Here is a 25857-nt window from a genome sequence, read left to right as displayed (position 1 = left end):
CTCCACCCAAAATGGGTTTTTCTTTTCTGCCAAATGACCAGGCTGCACATTTTCCAAACTTCTATACTCTGATTCCCTTTTAAATGTAAGTTCCAGTTTCATACAATCTTTTTGTTCACACATATGTGCATATAGTTTTAGAGACAGCCAGGATACATCTTGAATGCTTTGGTCCTTAGAAATTTCTTCTGCCAGGTGCCCTAAATCATCTCTCTCAAGTTCAGAGTTCCAGAGATCTCTAGGGTAAGGGAAAAATGCTGCCAGTCTCTTTGCTAAAGCGTAGCAAGAGTGACATTTACTCCAGTTCCCAATAAGTTCCTCATCTCTATATGAGATCACCTCAGCCTGGACTTCATTGTTTATATCACTATCAGTAATTTGGTCAAAACCAGTCAACAAGTCTCTAGGAATTTCCAAATTTTTCCACCCCTTCCTGTCTTCTTCTGAGCCTTCCAAACTGTTCCAAGCTCTGCCCATTAACTAATTCCAAAGTCACTTCCACATTTTCAGGTATCTTTATAGCAGTGCCCCCTCCTCTGGTACCAATTTTTGGTGTTAATCTATTTTCACTCTGGTATAAAGAACTACCTGAGACTGGGTAATTTATGAAGAAAAGGGGTTTAATTGACTCACAGTTCTGCAGGCTTAACTGAACGCATGACTAGAAAGCCTCAGGAAACTTAGAATCTTGGTGGACGGTGAAAAGGAAGCAAGGTACATCTTCCCATTGAGGAGCTGGAGAGAAAGAGAGTGAGGGGGAAGTGCCACATGCTTTTTAAACCATTAGATCTCCTGAGAACTCACTCACTATCACAAGACCAGCATATAGAAATCCCACCCCAATGATCCAGTCACCTCCCACCAGGACCCTTCTCCAACACTAAGGATCACAACTCAAGATGATATTTGGGTGCAGACACAGAGCCAAACCACATCAATAAGTAAGACTGAAAAGAGTTTTCAATATCAACTGTGGTAAGAGTCTTTCTTTGTAACCATCACTATGTTTGAGAGTTCTGAAATGTAGAGATAAACTGCCATATATTACTTATTTATAATGAAAATATGAGAAATATTTAAATATGTAAAGGTATGCTTTTAAAAATTATACACATAGACACACACACATACACACATATATTTTATTTCAATAGTTTTGGGGGTATGTGTAGTTTTTCATTATATGGATGAATTGTATAGTGGTGAAGTCAGATTTTAGTGCACCTGTCACCTGTATGCTGCACATTGTAGTCAGTATGTATATTATTTTTAATCCTTCACTCCCCTCCTACTCTTCCCCCTCTGAGTCTTCAATGTTCCTTATACCAGTCTGTATGCCTTTGGGTCCCCATAGCTGTTAAGTTAGCTTGAAGTTCCCATTTGATAATAAGGCTGTGTTATAGGAAGAATTCTAGAAAGGTGCTCATAATATCTTCAGAGAATATTTATCCCTGTCTTCATGCTGAGTTGTTCCACCTAATTTATTCCCAATAAAATAAAACTGTCTATGTATAATTTAAATAGGTATATTCCTGGAAATTTGATATTGACTTGAAATCAACCTACTTCTAAACGTGCACTCATCTATTTTTTTCTATATAGAATGAAGTTTTATCAAAATGTTTTTATTTGCATTTGACTCCCTTTTATGCTATATTGAAAACTGAACAGTGGGCTATAGGCATAAATTATCATTTGCCAAAAGATAAAACACAGGATAAATCCAAAAGTATTATTTAATAATTTGTAGCCCACAAAAATCAGTTTATTAAGGGCAATAGCTATTGTGCACATGAAATACCTAATATGTAAGTTATCTCAAATAGAGTTTTTTAAACCCTATCAATATTTTGAATATTAACCAATATTTTACGAAGAGCAGTACTTTATACAGTTTTCTATAGCATCTAAATCCACAAACAGAAATAAATAATTATATTCTTTCCCAGAAAATAAATCAGAATTTTTTTTTAATTCTTGATTAAAGAATACAATTATGTTGGAATCTTTCTCTGTTTAGAAATAAGCACTATAACTATTGGCCTTCTGCTGTTGAATGTGTTTATATATGCTTGTGTAAGTGGATTTGAATGTGTGTGTGAGTGTATGTATAAATAAATATAGGTACACATATGGCTATAGATCAAATAAAGATAATAATTTTTAGCAGAAAAAAACAATTAGGTGACTCAAGAATGTTGGTCCTGTTTATACTTTTGTCTTGAGGATTAGGATTTGTTAGCTCATAAAAAACTCGGAGTTTATTATAGGCATCAATTAAATTCTGCCTAGGGCTGAATCCATGATGTGAAATATAATATAGTGTAAAATTAAATCATGCTTATGAAAAGTAAAAAATAAAAACCAATTTTATTACTGAAATACTTATATAAGTGGGCATTCTGAATATAACAAGTTTGAAGCATGATGAAAAATATAAGCAGACCATATTTAATGATTATTAACTGTGTGTACATGTATAAATAAATATACACATATATGTGTGTGTATTTATAATACCATCTCAAAGTAAATGTATTCTACCACAAGAAATGTATAATAAAGTTGCCTTAAAAATTATCTAAATTTTTGAGGGATTCAAGTACTTCTCAAAGGTAAGGTTGAAATGATATACTTCAATACTAACATATCTATAAAATATGCTCATAACTTGCTTAGTTTTATTTTCCATATTTTTTTACCCACAGAGTATTAAAAGCTCTAATGTACATTCAAGAATGTATAAAATTCATCATAGAATTCTTCATTTTATAGTAATCTTTACTTCATAGTACTATAGTGTGGACAAAAAGGTTGTGAAAGCTTAGGTTCTCTCTGTCTCTCTCTCTCTATATATATACATATACATATACATATACATGTACATGTACATATACATATACATATGCATATACATCTCCTTGACAAGTATTGAAATGCTATGTAGTTGAAAATCTAAATGTGCTGACATTTATAAATAATAACTATATTTACTGAGTCTTAAATATTCTGTTAGAAATAATTTAACTGAACACCCATCAAGCGTTCAACATGTGCAATTTCTTTTGTTTGTTTTTTGTTTCCTTGTCAATAACAAAACCAAACAACTCTTAAAAGTTAATCATAAGTACTATAGAAAATTGAAATGTGCACCTGCAGGCAGGGTTTCAACCTTAAGGTAAACCAAACAAGAGATCTTACAGACATTAAATAGAAGTCTCTTCTCTACAACCTAGAAAAACAGATTTCTCTGGCATTCTGAAATGATTGACAATTTCAAGTAAGCGTGCTGAAATGATCCAGATGTACAGCTTCTGGGGAATAGTTTGATCAGGTGGCTCCATGCATGAGACGACTTGTCAGGAAGATCATCAAGTATCACCTCCCACATATGCAGTCAGGACTATTCAAATTTGTGTCAGGAAAAAGCAGCCAAACCACCAGGTAGATTTGAAGGGAAAGGGAGGCTTCCCTGAAAGCAAAGACATTTCCCTTGACCTATCAAAATTTCTGGAATTACACATCAGGACTGAAATATTTGGGGTGCTTATTAGTCTCACAATAACATACATTAAAGTTTCCCCAGAAATGTTAATGCCACAAACCAACATCAGTCAAAATTTTGGAAAAAGTTCTGTTTTTCAATAAGGGTGTTATGGTCATTTTTAAAAACTTTTTAAAAAACGTTTTAAACTGAGTTTTATTGTGGTATACTTGACATACTATAAACTGCTTATACTAAAATGTACAATTTGATAAGTTTTGAAAAACCATAACTAAAAGATAGTGAGTAGATTGGTTTCTTCTTTGTAATTTCTCCATCCTATCCCTTCCTATTACTGCTCTCCCAGGCAACAATTGCTTTGTTTTCTGTTACTAGAGATTTATTTGCATTTTCTAGAGTTTTACATAATTGGCATTATAAACTATGTAATTTTTTGTGTCTGGTTTCTTTCACTCATTATAACTATTTTGAGAGATTAATCCATATTATTGCATGCGTCAATAGTTCATGCCTTTTTATCAGTCAGTAGTATCTCATTGTATAGATATACCACAGTTTGTGTAGCCATTCAGACATTGTTGGATATTGCAGTTGTTTCCAGGTATTGGCTATTACAAATAATTCAGATATCAACATTTGCTTACGAATCCTTTTATAAATATATGCTTTATTTTCTCTTGGACAAATACCTAGGAGTGGAATGGCTATTTCAATTGGTGAGTGTACACTTAACTTTTTAAGACATTGCCAAGCTATTTTCCAGAGTGGTTATACTATTTTACTTAAACACCAGTATTTACGAGACTTTTAGTTATTCCTTACGCTCACTGGCATTTGGTATGATGATTCTATTTAATTTTAAACTTTCAATAGGTGTGTGGCATATTCCATCCCATTGTAGGTTGAATGTGCACTTCTCTAATGTTGCATGATGTTTATAATTTTTGTGTGTGTGTTTGTTAGCCATCTGTGTATCCTCTTTGGTAAACAATATGTTCAAGTAGTTTGTCCATTTTTAGTAGGATTGTTATTCTGCATTCAAATTTTTTATCAACTATGTTTTTCAGATGTTATTAAAGATGTGTGTGTGAAAAGTGGTTAACTGAGGGGACATAATATAAACTTCAAAAGCTGAAATATCTTACTAAAAGCTGATCTCTCTTGCAAGTAACCAAGGATAACAAAAATTTAAAACTTACTAGTATTCAAGACAATCCTAAGCAAAAAGAACAAAGCTGGAAGCATCACACTACCTGATGTCAAACTATACTACGAGGCTGCAGTAACCAAAACAGCATGGTACTGGTGCTAAAACAGATATATAGACCAATGGAACAGAACAGAGACCTCAGAAATAACACCACACATCTACTACCATCTGATCTTTGACAAACCTGACAAAAACGGGCAATGGGGAAAGGATTCCCTGTTTAATAAATGGTGCTGGAAAACTGGCTAGCCATATGTAGAAAGCTGAAACTGGATCCCTTCCTTACACTGTATACAAAAATTAACTCAAGATGGATTAAATACTTAAATGTTAGATCTAAAACCATAAAAAGCCTGGAAGAAAACCTAGGCAATACCATTCAGGACATAGGCATGGGCAAAGACTTCATGACTAAAACACCAAAAGCAATGGCAACAGAAGCCAAAATTGGCAAATGAGATCTAATTAAACTAAAGAGCTTCTGCACAGCAAAAGAAACTATCAGCAGAGTGTACAGGCAACCTACCGAATGGAAGAAAGGTTTTGCAATCTACACATCTGACAAAGGGCTAATATCCAGAATCTACAAAGAACTAAAGTTACAAGAAAAAAAACAACCCCATCAAAAAGTGGGTAAAGGATATGAACACATACCTCTCAAAAGATGACATTTATGCAGCCAACAGACATATGAAAAAAAGCTCATCATCCCTGGTCATCAGAGAAATGCAAATCAAAACCACAATGAGGTACCATCTCATGCCAGTTAGAATGATGATCATTAAAAAGTCAGGAAACAACAGATGCTGGAGAGGATGTGGAGAAACAGGAATGCCTTTACACTGTTGGTGGAAGTGTAAACTAGTTCAACCATTGTGGAAGACAGTGTGGTGATTCCTCAAGGATCTAGAACTAGAAATACCATTTGACCCAGTGATCCCATTACTGGTTGTATACCCAAAGGATTACAAATCATGCTACTATAAAGACACATGCACACATATGTTTATTGCAGCACTATTTCCAATAGCAAAGACTTGGAACCAACTCAAATGTCCATGAGTAATAGACTGGATTAAGAAAATGTGGCACATATACACCATGGAATACTATGCAGCCAGAAGAAGGGATGAGTTCATGTCCTTTGCAGGGACATGGATGAAGCTGGAAACCATCATTCTCAGCAAACTGTCACAAGGACAGAAAACCAACCACTGCATGTTCTCACTCATAGATGGGAGTCAAACAGTAAGAACACGTGGACACAGGGAGGGGAATATCACACACTGGGGCCTCTTGGGGGGTGGGGGGCTGGGGGAGGGATAGAATTAGGAGAAATACCTAATGTAAATGATGAGTTGATGGGTGCAGCAAACCAACGTGACACATGTATACCTATGTAACAAAACTGCACATTGGGCACATGCACCCTAGAACTTAAAATATAATAATAATAATAATAATAATAATAATAATAATAATAATAAACTTACTAGTATTGAATGAGCTAGTCTTATTTCTGAGTCTTATGGTAAAACATTTTTCTGTAGTATAGTGGTTTAGGGCAGGGCTTCTGGAGCTACTCTGTCTGAACTCAAATTCACTTGGCTACTTCTCAGCTGTGTAATTGTGTGTAAGTTTCTTAATACCTCTATGCCTCTTTTGTAGATGTAATACTTGTGGCTGCCTCATAGTGTTGTCATTATGCACATAAAGCACACAGTAAAGGCTCAATAATATTTGCTATTGTTTAATAAATTCATTATTATTTACCCATTCTTGCTCTCTAAATTTTATCTGTGATAGACCTCATTTAACTTGGCCAGCCTCTCAGGCTAATTTCTTTCCATAAGTGAAATGCCCTTTAAAGGCCATAGGCTGTCAGGAGGAGGAAATTATGTTCTTGAGGTTTGAGTCAAAGAAATTGTGTAAAATAAGTAGAAATCTCTGGCCAGATAGTGCTAAGAGAAGCTGCTGATGAAGATCAGAGTATTGAGGCATGGGGGAAGGAATGATTATGGTCTGTCTTCCATCGAGGCAGTTTGTTTAAACTCATCAATTTGTTACCGTGACTGGATCTTGACACTAAATTTAACTTAAGAATCCTTGAAAAGATAGTACGTCATTGAGTTGGGGGAAAGTGCATGAATAGGGAACTTAACTGTTGTCTCACTATGACTAAAACAAAAACTCTTCTAAAACACCTACTGAGTGATGGTTTTCTCAAGAGAAGGTTCCAAGTTGGCCAAAGGATAGTTTGTGGAAAGAATAATTTCAGGAATTTTACTATTAGAGAATGTAGTGATTCACCTGGGTTTGAAGCCCAAATGAAAAGAATAAAAAGATTTTGGAATGCTCTCCCCAACCCAAAAAGAGTTAGTGTGAGAAGGGGATAATGAATTTGAAGTGATCTAGGCTGAGAACCATATGGAAGGATGAGAAGACATGAGACTGACATCTGGAAAAACAACAGGAAACATTTTTAATAGTCAAATGTGCTTTGTATTAGTATCAGGAAGCACTTAAAAATATGTCATCCCTTTAGACTGTGAGTTGTGTGAGGGCTGAAGACAATGCCCATTTTGTTCAGTATTTTTTCTGGTGCCTAGCACAGTGTTTATTATATAGCAGATGCTCAACGAAGATATAAAATGTGTATTTTTAAGTACTCAACCTCATCCTTCTCTCTCCACAATGCAAAATTCAGCTCATGAAGTTTTCCTTCTCTTCCCAAATCTTGAAGGATTAGACAACGTATGATGTTGGGAGGGTTTCATTTGGCCTGAAACAATTATGACACCGTACATGTCTCCTGCAAAGCTTCTAAGGACCTCACCTATTAACATATTTTATCAGTGCTGCAAGTGTTTATTTAGATTATGTCTAATCAGCACATTCTAGACTAGATTGAGAATATTTAAGGTTAAGAATCTTTCTGAGTTTACTTCACCCCTTTGATCTTGCTCTTCTTCCTCCTGTAAGACCGGTTACCTAGAGCAATAGAAGCTCATGTTTAGACATGGCAACTAGTTTGGAAGAGGATGAAGCTCATAGTGAGTTGCTTCCACCCAGGCCAGAACAGCTGTATTTGGCAGAATGTAAAGGGGGGCCATATCTCTTGGACAACTGTCCCTATTTTTATGGCCACAAGCTCAGGTTCAGGTGGTCTCAGCTTGTGTATGTAAGTACTATTGATGATCTAAAAGCTCTTAACTATACCATAGCTTAGTATTATATGCCATTCAGTGTTATAGGAACAGGGAAGAGGAGCATGATATTAAATACTTTGAACACACTTTTTTGGGTTTGTTGTTGTTATTTTTGGAGACAGAGTCTTGCTCTGTCACCCAGGCTGAAGTGCAGTGGCATGATTGTGGCTCACTATAGCCTTGACCTCCCGGGCCCAAGAGATCCTCCCACCTCAGTGTCCCAAGTAGCTGAGCCGACAGGTGTGTACCACCACGCCCAGCTAATTTTTGTATTTTTTTTGTAGAGTCAAGGTTTTACCATATCGCCCAGGATGATCTAGAATTGCTGAGCTCAAGCTATCCTTCTGCCTCAGTCTGCCAAATTGGTGCTGGGATTACAAGTGTGAGTCACTATGCCCAGCTAAAACACACTTTTTTTTTCTTTTTACACTTACTGGTTTATTATAAAGGATATTACAAAGGATACTGATGAAGAGACACATAAAGCAAGGTATGGGGGAAGGCGTGCACATCTTCCATGTCCTCGGCCTGCCTCTCTCCAGGAATCTCCACATATTCATCTAACCAGAAGCTTCCTGAACCTGGTTCTCCTGGTAAACAGATTTTTAAAAAAGTTATCCACCTAGAAGTTCTATTATTTTTCTTAACCACCATTCTATGTATGAAAATATTGAGGCTTAGAGAAGTTAAGTGATGCTCCTGGATCTCATGGCAAATCAACTAGTAGATCCAGTTTTCGTTGTGAAATCTTTGCCTCTTCCTATGTCCAGAATGGTATTGCCTAGGTTGTCTTCCAGGGCTTTTATAGTTTGGGAATTTACATTTAAGTCTTTAATCCATCTTGAGTTGATCTTTGAATATGGTGTAAGGAAGGAGTTCAATTTGAATTTTCTGCATATAGTAAGCTGCAAATAATATTTTAAAGAAAAGTTACTGATAGACCAATTGCACAATTGTGTACAAAATAATTATATTTTAGATGATGTAATAAACAGAAATGTGATTGTCATAAATATAAAGGTGAGCTATCCACTGTCCAGTAGATTTACCCTCCATCTCTGCTGTGAGAAGAAAATTTAATTTTCTTCAGAATGTTATTTGTGTATATGTTTTTCTCGTACTTATAAGCTAACCCTTTAAAGTGTCAAACCATTACAGGATGGTTATGGACTGAAATGTGTACTCTCAAAATTCATGTCTGGAAACCTTAATCCTCAAAGTAACTATATTTGGAGATAAGGCCCATAAGTCAGTAACTAAAGTTAAATGAGTCTAGAAGGTAGGGTCCGTATATGATTGATCTGATAGGTCCTTATAATAAGAGACAACAGAGAATTTGCTTTCATTCTCTTTCTTTCTCTCTCTCTCTCCCCCATGCGAGGACACACAGGAAGGCGCCCATCCATAAACCAAAAGAGATTTCTCAGGCAAATCCAACCATGCTGGGATTCTGCTCTCTGACTTCCAGCCTCTGTAATTGTGAGAAAATAAATTTCTGTTGTTTAAGCCACCCAGTCAGTGGTATTTTGTTATGACAGCTAGAGAAGACTAAAAAAAGATCTTTAATAACATATGATCTATCCCTAAAAATTCTGTACAACAGAAATCCAGCTTTCTTTCAGTTATGGAGAAAAACAGAGAGACAGTAGACAGTTGAGAGATAGGTAAATAGACAGATGATCACATATTCATTAAGAGCTCAGATGAACTTTTGTGACTCTGATAATTTCTGATATTGTGATAGGAATGTGAATCTATCCCAAAATATTGACCCACATATAAGCTGAGAATTTCAAGTGCTTCTATTTTGATGGCGGATGTACTAAGGGCATACAGTCTCCAGAGGGAACATAATGACCAACAGAAGTGATATTTTTAGGACTTTAACGACTTGCCAAATTGGCTGAGGCTGAGGTACAATATCAGACCTTTTACAAGTGATTATTAGTTGCTAGTGGTACATAACCTGAAAGTCATTATTTTTAGAATTTTTAGACATGCACAAAAAGTAAAAAACCTAATTACCTGTTTTTCTGCTACAGAGTGAAAATGTACGACACCCCATGAAATACTGGAGATGGCTATGCAGGACTGATCATATTACACAAAGCTGATGTAAGTAAAGAGCAGATAAGATATTCTTTATAATCCATTTCCCAGCTAGCTGTAAAAAATCAGTGCTATATCAACATATATGTTGGATCCTAATAATAAAGCTACATATGTTGGTCAAAGGAGAAAACAAATAAACACTGGTCTTGGATCTCAACTTATTTACCAGCAATCTATATGAAATGATTTTGCTGGAAAGCTTCCCCAAAGACATAACAGGGTGCTGCACCTCCAAGGATGGGAGAAGTTCTTAGAGTGTTTAGAAATCTTCATGTAATTATCAAATATTGGTGACTGTGCATTTGGCATATACACCATGAAAATGTGAGAGTATTCTTTTCTCTTTACTTAAGGCAGTTCTGAGAACAACCCATAAACAGCTTCCCCCAAGTCTCCCCTTTATTATCATCCATCATGCTTAGCTATTTTAATGTGACACTGGCCGTATCTTGCTGCCAAGGAGAGCATGGATAATTCCGCTATGACATTGCTAATTTCTAGAATGTAACCACAAGGTTTGACATGATGCAGTCAGGCAGTAACCAAAAGCATATTTTCTGAGTTCCCTCGTAAAACCTCAGTGGATATGAGGGTCGTAAAAAAATAAAACTTATGCCTGGTTATTTTTAGTCCACCAAATGTGAGAAAAGATGAGTGAAATCTCCGTCATTAAAAAGAGAGATAGAGTGTCTTAAAAAATCCACTCAAATTAGAAAAATATGGCAACACTTTCATTCATGAGCAAACACTTATTAAGGGCCTATATGTGCCAGCAACTGAGCTTTCTGTGCTCAGTTCAATTTTAGCGCACATCTGGTCTACTACAGAACACTGTTTGAAAATATATGAAATAAACCTGCTAAAAAATTTAACTCTCTCTCTCCCTCTACTTCTCTTCCTCTCCCTCTGTCCTTCTTTCCCTATTTTTCTCTCTCCAAATTTCCCTCTTTCTGTATCAATGAGAAAGGCAGAATGATGGCATATTCAGAAGAAACATAGATTATTTCTGGTTTATAGTGAAAAAGCAATGGTTTAGAAATTATATGTCCTGTCACCTACTAGATGAGTGATCTCTAGCAAGTCATTTAATTTATCTGATGATGACAAAACAACACCCTGCCTAATAGTTCATAGGGTACTTTGAGACCCACATATGATAAAATATGTATGTTTTGACAACTGTCAAGTGCTTAATAAATGTTAGATGTTATCTTATGTGGGAAAGTATTAAAATGAATATCTACTTTATATAAAGGTGTTTTAATCATATTTGTTATATATGATTAAAAATAAAAATAATTGTATAGAGTGCACACACACACACACACACACACACACACACACACAGAGTTGACCCTTGAACAAAGTTTTGAACTTGGAGGGTCTGTTTATATGCAGATTTTCTTCCACTTCTGCCATCCCTGAGAGAGCAAAATCAACCCCTTCTCTTCTCCTTAGCCTACTAAATGTGAAAATAATAATGAAGACCCTTAGGATGACCCACTTCCACTTAATGAATAACAAATATATTTTCTCTTCATTATGCTTTCCTTCACATTTTCTTTTCTCTAGCTTACTTTATTGTAAGAAAACAGTATATAACACATACAGCATACAAGATATGTGTTAATTGACTATGTTATTGGTAAGGCTTCTGTTTAACAGTAGTTGTATTAGTCAGAGTTCTCTACAGGGACCAAAGTAATAGGATAGATGTATACATAAAGGGGAGTTTATTAAGGAGTATTGACTCACATGATCACAAGGTGAGGTCCCACAATAGGCTGTCCGCAAGCTGAGAAGCAAAGAAGCCAGTCCGAGTCCTGAAGCTGAAGAACTTGGAGTCTGATGTTTGAGGGCAGGAAGCATCCAGCATGAGAGGAAGATGTAGGCCAGAAGACTAAACCAGTCTAGTTTTGCCATGTTCTTCTGCCTGCTTTTATTCTGGTCATGCTGGCAGCTGATTAGATTGTACCCACTCAGTAGTGCCTTTCCCAGTCCACTGACTCAAATGTTAATCTCCTTTGGCAACACCCTCACAGACACACCCAGGAGCAATACTTTGCATCCTTCAATCCATCAAGTTGACACTCAATATTAACCATCACAGTAGTTAAGTTTTTGAAAAGTCAAAATTTATTTATGGATTTTCAACTGTGTGTGTGTGTTGGGGGTGGGGGGATTATTCCCTTAATCCCCATGTTGTTCTAGGCTATAACTATATTATAATATCTTTAGTTATAATAAGTATATAATATGACTGTTTCAAAAGCTATTTTTTCAAAGGAATTTTAACATTCTTCTGTTCCTACCAATAGGAGATTTTCAGAGAAAAGAATGCACTACTGAGAAGATAGGTAGTTGCGACGAATCATGTTTATATTTAATTAAGGATAAACAGGTGAGTCTTCTATAGATTATGGTAATCTTAGAGTAACTAGTAGTATGCTGAATACCATAAATAATAATCTGAATCTGCTTTTCTTTTTCTAAATGGGTAAAGTAAAACAAATGTGTTGCTGCATCAAGGAAGTCACAATGTGAGAAGAGAATATGGATGCATATGAAAAATGTTCATTGTATTAAAGTGTGTGGGGTGGAAACCAGTATTTCCACAAAAATTCAGAAAAGAGATCCCTCAGCATGGGCTGGGTTAATGAAAAATCTTCATGAAGCCTGCGTTAGGAGTTAGCATTAGGACGCGTAGAAACGTTGGAACAGAGCCGTTTAAGGAAACAATACTTTGAAAGATTGAGGTAATGGTGTTTAATAGATGGCTTAGAAGCAACTGAGCTGGAAGACTAGGCAACCTGCAAAAACAAAACAAAACAAAAAAAAACAACATTCCCGTGATGGTGCAAAGATGGAGTTCTGAGACCTTAATTAGAGTAGCAGCCTTGAGAAGGCAGAAGAAAGGCCCAAACCAAGTTCCCATCATATTTATTAGAGGCAGTAGTAACCAAATACTAGTTTTATTTCCCACTGGCCTCTTTGTTGTTAGCCAAACTCACAAAGCAGATCTCATTTCAGGGTCTCATGACATATAGTTTCCTTGGACTGAAAAACATTTTGACTAGATATTCCTTTGCCTTTCTCCCTCATTATATTCATAACTTGACACTTTATCTAAGAGGCCTTCTCTAAAAACCCTGTCAAAATTAGCACCACCCAAAACATTCGGTGCCATATGATAATACGGCAGATTCCTTGTGTTAGTTCATTTGGGCTGCTATAACAAAATACCACAGACTGTGTGGCTTATAAGCAACTGAAATTTATTTTTCACAGTTCTGGAAACTGGGAAGTCCAAGATCAGGGTGCTAGCACAGTTGAGTTTTAGTGAGGACCTTTTCTGGGTTACAGGCTGCTGACTTCTTGCTGTGTCCTCACATAGCAGAAGGGATGTAGGATCTCTCTGGGGTCTCTTTTACAAGGGTACAAATTCCATTCATGAGGGCTCCACCCCTATGACCAAATCATCTCCCAGAGGCCCCATCTAATGCCATCGCCTTGGAGGTTAAGATTTCAACACATACATTTTGTGTAGACATAAACATTCAGTCTCTTTCATGCCTATTTGTTTACATATATAATATTTCTCAGCCAAAATATGAATCCTGTGAGAGCAGACAAATTCTTATTCATTCTCTTGGTTCAAAGGAAAGCATAGAAATAGCAGCAGGCAGGTGTAAACGTGGAATTGGGGCTCAGGAACAAAGCCAGATCTAGAATGTAGCTAAAGAAATCATTCCCACAGGAAAAAGTGGTAAAATCTTGAAAGGTGAACTATCCAAGATAATCATATGTTGTTGAGAACCATTCCAAGTCTCTGAGTCTCCAGTCATTCCATGATAAATATGAGGATTGAACAGTTCTTTGATATAAAAAAGAATACTAAAGGTTCTTGGAGTGATCATTCTGGTAATCAATTTCAATTATCAGTACTCTAGATAAGGCAAGTACAAGAGAATGAGGTGTGTAATGTGCTGAGCCCAAGATATATCAATTGTTACAATTCAACAAATAAATAGCATATGCTCATTTTAATATGGCTTGCCTTTTTTCAAAAGTATAGTAAGACAAAGTCTAGTTATCTGAAGATTGTGGATATTGAGTTAAGGTTGTGCAATAATTAAAGAGAGAAGATACTTTAGATTAATTCTGAATATTCCCTGGATTTTGTAGAAGCAAGGTAGTCTGGACTCTTTGGGGCCTATGCACAACAGCCTGAACTTCGGAACAATCACAGACGTAAAAGTTAAAAGAAGTAAATTGTTGGTGGGCCACAATTAATCATCATTATTTAGATGCTTTAAGCAGTTGGACTCAGCTCTCACTGATACGGAAGTGTTGGGAAGGGAAGAGTGTGTTCCCTTTAAATGATACAGAAGAGGCAGAAGGGAAGTGCTGGGTAGAGGAGGACATGGTCCCTGGCTAGGGCTCCACCCCCACGGACCTAGGTGAGAACAGGCATTTCCTGCACAAATGTTGCATTTCCCGCCCAAATGTTGCATTTCCCAAGACCACCCTGGCCTGTCATGTCCTCATCCTGTGCCTATAAAAACCTGAGACCCTAGCAAGGCAGAGACAAAGAAGCAGCTGGACATCGAGAGGGGCACATCAGCGGAGGAACACACAGGTGGCTGGACGTTGAGAGGAATGCACCAACAGGCACCAGCATAGCCAGCAGGCCACCAACTGGCAGAATGACATGGAGTTTGGCTGGGTCAGTTGGGGGAAAGCCTGGACCACCAAGCGGCCCAACTCCAGGGCAAAACCATCTCCCTTCTGGCTCCCCCATCTGCTGAGAGCTACTTCCACTCAATAAAACCTTGCCCTCATTCTCCAAGCCCACGTTTGATCTGATTCTTCTGGTACGTACGCCAAGGCAAGAACCCTGGATACAGAAAGCCCTCTGTCCTTGCGACAAAGTAGACGGTCTAATTGAGCTGGTTAACACAAGCCACCTATAGACAACAAAACTGAAAGGGCAAAACTAAAAGAGCACCCTATAACACCCTCCCACGGGAGCCTCATGAGCTGTAAACATTCACCCCTTGTCACTGCTGTGGAGTCGGAGCCCCACAACCTGCCTGTCTGTATGGTTCCATAGAGGTTTGAGAAGTGGGGCACTGAAGAAGTGAGACACTTCTCCTGTCACACACCCTACAAAGGGGACAAGGGAACCTTTCCTGTTTCATCACCATGGCCAGTATCCCCTGCCATTCTGCTATGTTTGCTACTTTGTCCGATGTCATTCTTAAACACTTAATCAAATACATATCCCCTAAACCAAGATACTTGGACCATATGGTTGATAGTTTATACAGAACTACTAATTCATTGACTTTTTTTTTATATTGTATAGTAAGGGTGGCTGTTATACCATCTGACTAAAAAGGATAGACAGATGGTAAAAGCCAGATGAAACACAGAGGTTAGAATACCCATGATCATGATTTCTCATGTGACTGAGCACAAAATCTAGACAAAATCCCCTGCTAGATAGTCTGAAATTGGAGATGTTATTTTCCACCATCCCTTCTAAAATTACATTTATCAGATTATCTCATATTAATGATTTTCTCATATTAATGATCCTTCCACTCCAGTCAGATTGGCTCCATCACTGTCTGATGCTCATTCGTTATGTATCTCTGCCTTTAGGCTTTTGTTTATGCTACCACCTTTGCTTCTGATGCCATCTCTCAACACCTTCATTGATCCAAATCTGACCATCCTCCAAGACCGACTTCAGATTGTGAGTCAGCTGAATTCTTCCCAGACCTCTGTAGGCCATTATCAGTGTTTCCCTATTGTAGACGCTGTAGAGTCTGTATGTCACTTAGTATTAGCATAATTTCTTTTATACGGTTAACTTTTTTATTCCCAGGTTTTCTCTTTACACAAAGACTACGTTCTTTGCTGTACTTCCTAGAACCTACAATATGACCAGTTCTTTGTCTTGCACAGAGCTGGTATTCTCTGTAGAATAGAGTAGAAACAAAGTGAAGGCTTTGTCAATAGGTCAAAAGACTGAGAACATAAATAATAAATTAATAATGTAATTTTAATCATCTGAAAAAGATCAACAAAGGACAGCTCAGAAACTGGTATGCTGTTGTTTAAATAAATGAGGCACTTTTTGAGACACAGACTTACACTGCATGAAATCAGAACCAGTGCTCCTGAATTTATGTTTCCCATTGTATTTAGTATGCTTACTGAAGTTTATTTAGCATGCTTACCAAATATGAAATGCAGAGGAATTTGTCAGACGTCCATTTTACCTGCTTAACTTTTCATTTCCTCTCTCCCTAATTTCTCTGATCTTTTACTTGTAGTGCCCACTGGGGCCTATCCCCTCCCCTTGCAGATGATGAGTTTCCTTTTCTCTCTGTACTTAACTTCACACACAGAGTGGACACTCTTCCCCACAGCTGCCAGATCAATCTGTTCCATCATGGGGCTTCCTCAGCCAACAGTTATATTCACAACTGTGTGTTCTAAACCTCACAGGAGCATTTGTATTTATGTTCTAAATCCAGAGTTTACACAATAAGAGGCTGCTATTTTAAAATTGTGGAGTAGGAGGAGAGAATTTGTAGATATTTCTAGATGTTTCCTGTAGACCACCAACCATTTATTGGAAATAAAATGACATCTGCTCATACATTAAGGATAAAAGCATTTTAAACAGACTTTCACTTAACTAAAGATAAACAAATTTAGGATTCATCATGGCACTCATTGTTACATTCAACATATTCAAAGGAATCAAGCTCTAATGCTCTAATAATATCATTTTCACCTCCTCTGTTGACCCAAATAATTTTGCTTTATTATATTAATATACTGAAAGCTAAATACATTAAATTCTCTGAATATTAAAATTCTCTTCATTGCAGTGCCCATTTCTACATAATATTTTTTCTATTCCCATTGTCTGTGGGGCTGTGAGAATTCCCCACATCTATAACCCAATGCATCTTTTTACTATATATCTAAACTCCATTGCTGCTGGTAATATATATATATACACACACACACATATATATATACACACACACACACACACACACATATATATATATACACACACACACACACATATGTATATATATATATACACATACACATATATATATATACACACATATATATATATTTTTTGAGACAGGGTCTCACTCTGTTGCCCAGGCTGGAGGGCAGTGACGTGATCTCAGCTCACTGCAACCTTTACCTCCTGGGTTCAAAAGATTCTCCTGCCTCAGCCTCCTGAGTAGTTGGGACTACAGGTGCCTGTCACCGTGCCAGGCTAATTTTTGTATTTTAAGTAGAGACGGGGTCTCAGCACGTTCGCCAGGCTGGTCTCAATCTCCTGACCTCAGGTGATCTGCCTGCCTCAGCCTCCCAAAGTGCTGGGATTACAGGCGTGAGCCACTGTGCCCGGCCCGTAATATTTTTAATATATATATTTCTGTGACATTGAAAGTAATGGCTTTGCTCTGTGCTAAACTGCCACAAACAACTGTTAGGCTGATTTTCTCTATGTTCTCTTCTCTGCTTCTTTTAGTTTTCTATTTATCCCACTTGTTAAGACAAACAAGGTGAGAAATTTGTCAGAATAAGTAATTCATGTGTCAGAAACATCAGATGAAGGATATGACATTAGAGGTGACTTGGTGGGATGCAAATGCTGCAGAAGTTGGACCCTGGAACATTTGTTTTAATGCTTTACAATCTCTGGATAAGGGCCATAACTTCCCAGTGTTTTTGGCAGAAAATTTGCACAAAGAGATGAAATTTGTTGGAAATACTTTATTTAAAAGGGATTCTCTGGTTGTGTCTTGGCCACGCCTTAGCAAAACTGACATACACTTTTTCGGTGGCTCTGGAGCCTCACTCTAAGTGAATGAAATAGTCATTTTTGTCAGTAAACTACAGAACCAGAACCTATGGGATGTTTTTGGTAAGACTCGCAGTGAATAGCATTGTCCATGTGCCAGCTTTCAACTCTGGATTCTGTGTCTTTTACTCCTGTACTGAGATGTTTTATTCTGTATCACTCTACAGCCATCATTGAAAACATGATTCTTCTGTTTTACTTAGCATAGATAGAGTTCACAAGTAAGCATTATAGCAATCATATCTGAAAAATAATTCATTTTATTGAAGAATGAATAACTACAATCCATGGCTACCTAATTTTTTATGTTTGCTAGAGCAGTTAATGGCATAACATCATGGTGTAAACATGGATGGAAAATAAAGTATTTAGGATGACAACTGAGCCATTTCCTTTTTAAAAAAATATGAATAATCCTCTCTTTAGCAAACATTCATCCATAGTTCCTAATGCATATAGGGTAGCATTTATTACATGTTGTTTCTAAGACTACTACAAATTAACACTCTCACAAAGTTTTTTTCAAGTACAACATTTAATATTTATGTTTAGTGATATAGACCTGATGCCAATAGTTGGTCTTACATATTGAAATATTTCAGAAACAAAACAGAAAGAATACATATGAACAACAAACAAAACAAAATCTTTGCATACATTGGGTTTTTTAAAGTTATCTGTGGCACACGACTAAGTTTTATGTAGACTGACAAAAACCTTAGTAATCGTCATGAATGGGATGACTTAGAATCTCCTCAATTTTCTAGGATAGTCTAAAAGGCAGTAGAGCAAATGCAATCCTGACTGAAAGGGAAGCAGTGGAAATGGTAGAGGGACCAGTCTGGTACTGATGGCAAAGCTTAACATGGATTCATACAAAAATCCAGATTATGTTTCATTTTTTCTTTTTAAATTTAAAATCTTCTACCAGTAAAATTAACTGGTATTAATTTTACCCACTGCATGAGTATTAAATAAAATCATTATTGAAAATATGTGAAACCCAAAGACAACAGTAATTCTCAAGAGTTGAATATCAAATAAAAGCAGTATTGGACAATATCTCTATGCCAAGAAGAATGAGTGATGTAATCAAGCTGGCCTTCATAAAATTATTAACTCTTGCATCCTGTGCTAATATGCCTGTTAAGATATTAGGCAAAAACATAATACCTGCATTAACAGAAAAATATAATACCTGCATTAACAGAAAAATATCTGTTAAGATATTTAGTCAAAAATGTAATACCTGCATTAACAGAAAAATATAGCACAGGTATATTCATAGAAGAGGATCAAATAAGTCAAATTCTTCCTTTCTTGACCCCCAGTTCCTCCCTCTTTCTTCACCCTTAATCACTTTTAATTCTGCTGTTATTAGGTCTTCTTGATTTTTAACCACTACATACTATCAATTCTTATCTCTAAAATGTGATAAATTGTGTATACTTATCCTACCACCCTCTCCCTTCACCCTTTTTTTCTTTCTCCAACTTACCTTACTTTTAATGTTTTTCATATTTATACTTTAACGTTTAATACTTTTCTTAACCCTCTATTTCTGAACCCACTATCTTGACTTTGTATCGGTTGAATTTCCACATTGTAAGATGAGAAAAATCACACACCCACACCTCTATACCTTCCCCTCCTTACCTCCTCACTGTGTCAGCTGCGTCAATATTTTATACTGCCAAGTTCTGTAACATTTATATTCTCCCCTGTAAATATATCAAAGTCTTCTTTGTATCTTTAGTTTTATTCTAAACATTGAATCACATTTATTAGGATGTATAATATGATTGTGTAAAGATTATTAATTGTAAAACCAAGTAGTATGATTGGATCTGTAGGAAAAGAAATGTAATCTCGTCTTAGAAATCTGCACCACTTGAAGAATGCTCCAAGCATCAAAAGCAAATGGATTATCTTAGTGCTCCAAAAATATTGCTCAAAATAGTTGAAAATTTTGGTTTGCTTTATGCAAAGACCATGATTTCACCACACTGCCACTTTTTATAACATTTTTTTACTGTCATTCTTTCCTATTTTTGTTAGAAGAGACATTAAGTCTTTCTTCCTTTCCAGTAATTAGAATTCATTTCATTCCTGAAGATACTCCTCATTCTAATTTAAACCAATGCTTTCTGGTTTTACTGAACAACTATAATCCCGGATGTTTATTGAAATCCAAGATCATTTCTACTATTTATTAAATCCCACGTCGTTCTTGGATGCATTTTTCATATTGCTATAGTAGTTTCTTAAGGTTTGTTTTTGTTGCTTTTAAGAAAGGAGTACATAGGGAATAAACTTTTTAAAACTTTACGGGTTTGAGGCCGGGCGCGGTGGCTCACGCCTGTAATCCCAGCACTTTGGGAGGCCGAGGCGGGCGGATCACGAGGTCAGGAGATCGAGGCCATCCCGGCTAAAACGGTGAAACCCCGTCTCTACTAAAAATACAAAAAAATTAGCCGGGCGTAGTGGCGGGCGCCTGTAGTCCCAGCTACTTGGGAGGCTGAGGCAGGAGAATGGCGTGAACCCGGGAGGCGGAGCTTGCAGTGAGCCGAGATCCCGCCACTGCACTCCAGCCTGGGCGACAGAGCGAGACTCCGTCTCAAAAAAAAAAAAAAAAAAAAAACTTTACGGGTTTGAAAATATCCTTTTGTTCGAATTTATTGATGGTTTTGTGGACCATATGGTAATTTTTTGGGATCAAAATTATTTTTACTCAAAATTTCTTATCAACATCAAGTATGTAGATAAGAAAACTAATATAGTAACTCAGATTTTAGCCTTTCATACGCAACTGTATTCTCACTGCAAACCAGTAAGTGTCATTTCTTTATCCTTGACACGCACAATGATCTATCTAAACTTGGGTATTTTATCTCTCCAGTTAATTTGTGACTATATTTTTAGTCCGTTTGTGACTGAAAGGATGGTTTTTCATGCTACACTCTCTGTTCTAATGCTGAATGTGCCACTTACTAATTGTGGGACCTTGTGTGAGTTACAAAGCAAACCTCTCTTTGCTTTATTTGATCATAAAATAATGAGAATGTTCAGCTCTCAGGGTTGATTGAAGATTAAATAATTCAATATGTTGTGCAATTGTTATAAAGATTGCAACACATATAAAGAATGCAATAACATTAACTATTGTTATTTTATTTTGTTCAGCATTCAGCAGATCCTCTTCATCTGAATACTTTCTGGTCCTTTTCTTAGCTCAGAAATTTTTCATCTATTATTTCTTTAATAGCTTCTTCCCATCCATTTCCACAGCTTTCCCTTCCTGGACCTTATACTAAATAGACATTGTCTTTTCAAAATTGATTTGCCATATCTTTTATTATTTTTCCAGAAAATAAAAGTTTTTGGCCTTTACCATGAGATTTTTAGAAATCATGATTACTAAAACATATGTTTCGTATTTTCTTCAAACTATTTTCATTGTTTAGAAGCTCTTCTTGGGGAAAACTGGACATCCATATGCAAAATAATGAAACTACACTCCTATCTCTTGCCACATACAAAAATCAAATCAAAATGGATTAAAGATTTAAATCTGAGACCTCAAACTATGAGACTACTGTAACAAAACACTAGGGAAGCTCTCCAGGACAGTGGTCTGGCAAAAATTTCTTGAGTAATACCCCAAAAGCACAGGCAACCAAAGCAAAAATGAGCAAATGACATCACATCAAATTAAAAAACATCTATACAGCAGAGTAAACAATCAACGAAGTGAAGAGACAGCCCACACAATGGGAGAAAATATTTTCAAACTATTCATCTGACAAGGGATTAACAACCAGGACAAATAAGGGGTTCAAACAAATCTATAGGAAAAAAATCTAATAATCCAATTGAAAATGGGCAAAAAATCTGAATAGACATCTTTCAAAAGAAAAGGTGCTCAACAGCATTGCTCATCAGAGAAATGTGAATCAAAACTACAATAATATATCATCTCACCTCAGTTAAAATGACTTTTGTCCAAAAGACAGACAATAACGAATGCTGGAGAGGATGTGGAGAGAAGGGAACCCTCGTACACTGTTGGTGGGAATGTAATTAGTACAACCACTATGGAGAACAGTATAGAGGTCCACAAAAAACTAAAAATAGAACTACCATATGATCCAGCAATCCCACTGCTAGGTATATACCCCAAAGAAAAGAAATCAGTATATCAAGGAGATGTCTGCTGTCCTGTATTTATTGCAGCACTAGTCACAACAGCCAAGATTTGGAAGCAACTTAAGTGAATTTCAGTAAATGAATGGATAAAGAAAATGTGGTATATATACACAATGGAATACTATTCAGCCATAAAAAGCAATAAGGTGGCATTTGCAACACCATGGATGGAACTGGAGGTCATTACGTTAAGTGAAATAAGCCAGTTCAGAAAGACAAACATCACATGTTCTCACTCATTTTTGGGATCTATAAATTAACTGAATTCATGGGGATAGAGAGTAGAATGATGGTTACCAGAGGCTGAGAAGGATAGGGGTGGGAAGAAGCAGGAATGGTTAATGGGTATAAAAATATAGTTAGAATAAGAGCTAGTATTTGCTAGCACAACAGTGTGACTACAATCAACAATAATTTGTTGTACCTTTAATAATAACTAAAAGAGTATGAATGGAATGTTTATAATACAAATCAATGATAAAGGCTTGAGATTATGGATACCCCATTTATCCTGATGTGATTATTACACATGGTATGCTTGTATCAAAATGTATCATGTACCACATTAATACATACACCTCCTATGTACCCCTTAAAAACTAAAAATTAATTTTAAAAAATAACTTTTTTGGTTATCTGACAATCTTGACAATACTATACAATATAGTATCCTGTTCTTGTTTATTTGGGTGCAATCTGCTTATAATTTATCTGTGGATTAAGGAGAATTTTTATAACATTCTTTTCCATGAATTAAAATTTTTATGCTTATGATTAGTTGTTTCACTTGTTAATCTTGGTCCTTTATCCTGCTTGTATTGTTGAGTCTCTTTTTTTTTGTTTTCAAACGTCAAGTGTTCGTGGAGTGTCTATTAATATTTATAGATGAATAACTATGTTGATTGATATGTGCTGATAGCCCTAGTTTTCTTTCCAGTTGGTGAGGCTGTTCCTCTCACATTCCAGTCCCCTCAACAGGACTATGGGCTCCATGTAAGAGGCTGGGTCTACTAAGGGGCAGGTTTTTCTTTGGGGTTTGTCAGTGGAGGTGCAAAGGGAGACATATTGATAGAGTGAAAAGTTTATTTTGGAAATGGAGGAATTTGCATATTTCCCAGTTGGTTCCTTTACCTTTCCTTTTTTGCCTTCATTCTTCCACATTTCTTTCTGAAGCTGACTCAAACTCTGCTTTGCTTTTTCTGTCATGGTCATGAATCGCATTAGGGTTTTAACCTTCCCCAGAATTTATCTACTTTTAACCTAGACACCAAACATCCTGCTAAGATATCTGCATGCAACAATGGGGAGAGGGCCACCATGGCATTTAGTTCTAGTGCTACCTTGACTCGGAAAATAAAGAACCTGTTGTAGTGGTTACCCAGTTTACTTTCTACTGTAATCACAGCAAAAAGGACAGGATTGTAATTCGGGTCAAATATAGATCAATGTTTTTGATGTTTTAAAGTGTTCTTTCCTTGACCAAATCAGAGCAAGATTGCATATTATCCTTTTGCCCATCTGTTTTACCAAAACCTCATCTTTAAGTGGCTCAGAACAAGTATCTGGTATGTAGACCTCTCCCTCAGGACTCATATTGGACTCAGTGCTGACCATCAGACTGATTTCTGGAAGGAGAGCTTACTTCTGATCTGTGCATTTTGGAGACAGAATCTCTACCTCAGCCATTCTCATTGTAGAAAGCATTTGCAATGGAGAAGGGAGACACAGAAGAATATGAGACCCAGAAGTTACCTTATCAATTATTATATTAGAGTGGTCCCTTGAAATAAAGGGTAGCTCCAGATTGTTTTCTCTTTTTTCAATATTCAGTTGCCATGATGGTGAACAGTGGAGTCCAGGAATTTGTCCCTGTAATTTTTCTCTCCTGCATCCAAATGTTACCACAGTTTCCAGGACTGGATTTGCTCTTGGTTACCCCTATCCTGAAACACACTCCCGTTTGATTTTTAGCTTCCTATGGACAAACTCCCTGAATGAAAGCCACTGACTGTCTGTTTTTTAGCCAATACTTTCCTCCAACCCATTCCTAGTCACTGTCTTTTATCCATATCCTTTTGGGATCCTAGAAGCTTCCGCTGCCAGAACCACATATGAAATCAGATTTGGTGCCTAGAGATCCCAGAAGAAGTTTTACTGCTGGCTTTCCACCCAGATCTGCTTCTACACAGTATGCTCTCTCCCTCAGCCACTGTTGTACTGCTCCATAATTCCTGTGATATGATTCATACTCCCATCAGACCCCACTGCTCATCCAGTACTGTTACTGTACTAGCTTTTTTTTTTCTAAAAATATTCAATTGTAAGGAAATACATTTTTTTTTTTTTTTTTTTTTTTTTTACTGGGCATGGACTCAGAAATTTCTAAGAAAGTGACACTTGGTGCTGACCATCAAACTGATTCTTGGAAGAAAAGCTTCTTATCTATGCATTTCTAAAAAGAGAACTATGTTGTGGAGGGGGATCCCTAGCTCAGCCATTCTCAATGTAGAAAACATTTGCAGTGGAGAAATAAAACACAGAATGTTAGTCCCAGAAGTTACCATATCAATTATCTAACCCAAACCTTTCATTTCATCACATGAGGCCAGAAGTGTTAAGTGACTATCGGAAGCACTTCCATTTTCTTAGTGGCAAAGCCAGTACTAGAATCCAATTCTTCTGACTCATAACAGATTATAATTATATTTATAAGTTTATATTATACATGTAAGTATATAATTTCTAACAAAAAAATCATGAGTGTAAGATAGTTAATACTCTTTTACCTCTTACTAGTAGCCAGGCCCTCTACTAAGTATTATATATCCATTGTTTTATTCAATCTTTACAATAGTAGTTATGAAGTAAGTACTGTTAGCATTCCCATTATACAGATAAGAAAGCTAGCTGTTTGTATGCTGTAATAATTATGAGTGGAACCAAGGTCAAAGCGTGAGTAGGAGATGGTCAAAACTCAGAATGAAAGCCTAGTTTTTGCTATCATAAAGGAGCAAGGAAGCATTAAAATGCACCATTTATACAAGTTTGAATTTATGTTTTATTCTAATTTTTGTTTCTCATGACAACTCAGTGGGCTGTCATGCCATGAGCTAAAAATGAAGCTGAAAAGTGCCTTTAGCAATCACATTTTAATACATTGCCTCTCTTCATGGTTTTATTTGGGTTAGATGAAGAGACAGAAGCTCTTGCTTACTGCTTAAAATTGTTAAACCACAGATTCCAGTTGCTCACATTCTTACTCATTTCTCTCCTTATTTTCTTATCTATGAGTTCCTAACTCCTCCTTCCCAAGCTCCCCTCCCAAGACTGAGACCAAAAGAAGGTTGACGATGGGGAAGATTCGCCACTGTGGATCAACACTGTTACAACCTGGGACTTAAGACTAGTGAATGCTAGACTGTATGTCTCATGGGTCAGGGGAAGAAATGGCTAAATGTAGTCATTCTGAAGAAAACAACAGATTGCTTTGGTCACCATCCCCCACCACCCCACCATCCACAATTAACTGTCTCTTCATCTGAATGCTTTTTATCTGGCTTGACTATGTTTTTCCTTTAAATTGGCAGTCTGAGCATTTTGTGGAGAGAAGAGACAGGAGAAGAAATGTGACTCGAAATATGGTTGTGGGTGTTTTTTAACAAGTTCTCTAAAAACCTTAAAAAAGACCTTTTAAAAAAATCTCTGT

General features: G+C 36.6%; 1 protein-coding gene across 3 annotated transcripts in view; it reads right to left on the bottom strand.

The window, feature by feature from the left end:
• LOC124906005 (uncharacterized) overlaps positions 1 to 25857 on the bottom strand; it is a 95669-nt gene that overhangs the window by 65334 nt on the left and 4478 nt on the right. Inside the window, exon 2 of one of the 3 annotated variants that reach the window (XR_007086316.1) lies at positions 522 to 735. The exons of the other annotated variants lie outside the window; for them this stretch is intronic. The gene's annotated coding sequence lies outside the window, so the exon portion shown is untranslated. Of the gene's footprint in view, positions 1 to 521; positions 736 to 25857 lie in introns of those variants that run through there. 3 annotated transcript variants of the gene reach the window in all.

This window comes from Homo sapiens, chromosome 2, assembly GCF_000001405.40.
Source record: "Homo sapiens chromosome 2, GRCh38.p14 Primary Assembly".
Classification (NCBI taxonomy): Eukaryota; Metazoa; Chordata; class Mammalia; order Primates; family Hominidae; genus Homo; species Homo sapiens.
This window is presented reverse-complemented; position numbering and strand designations above follow the sequence as displayed.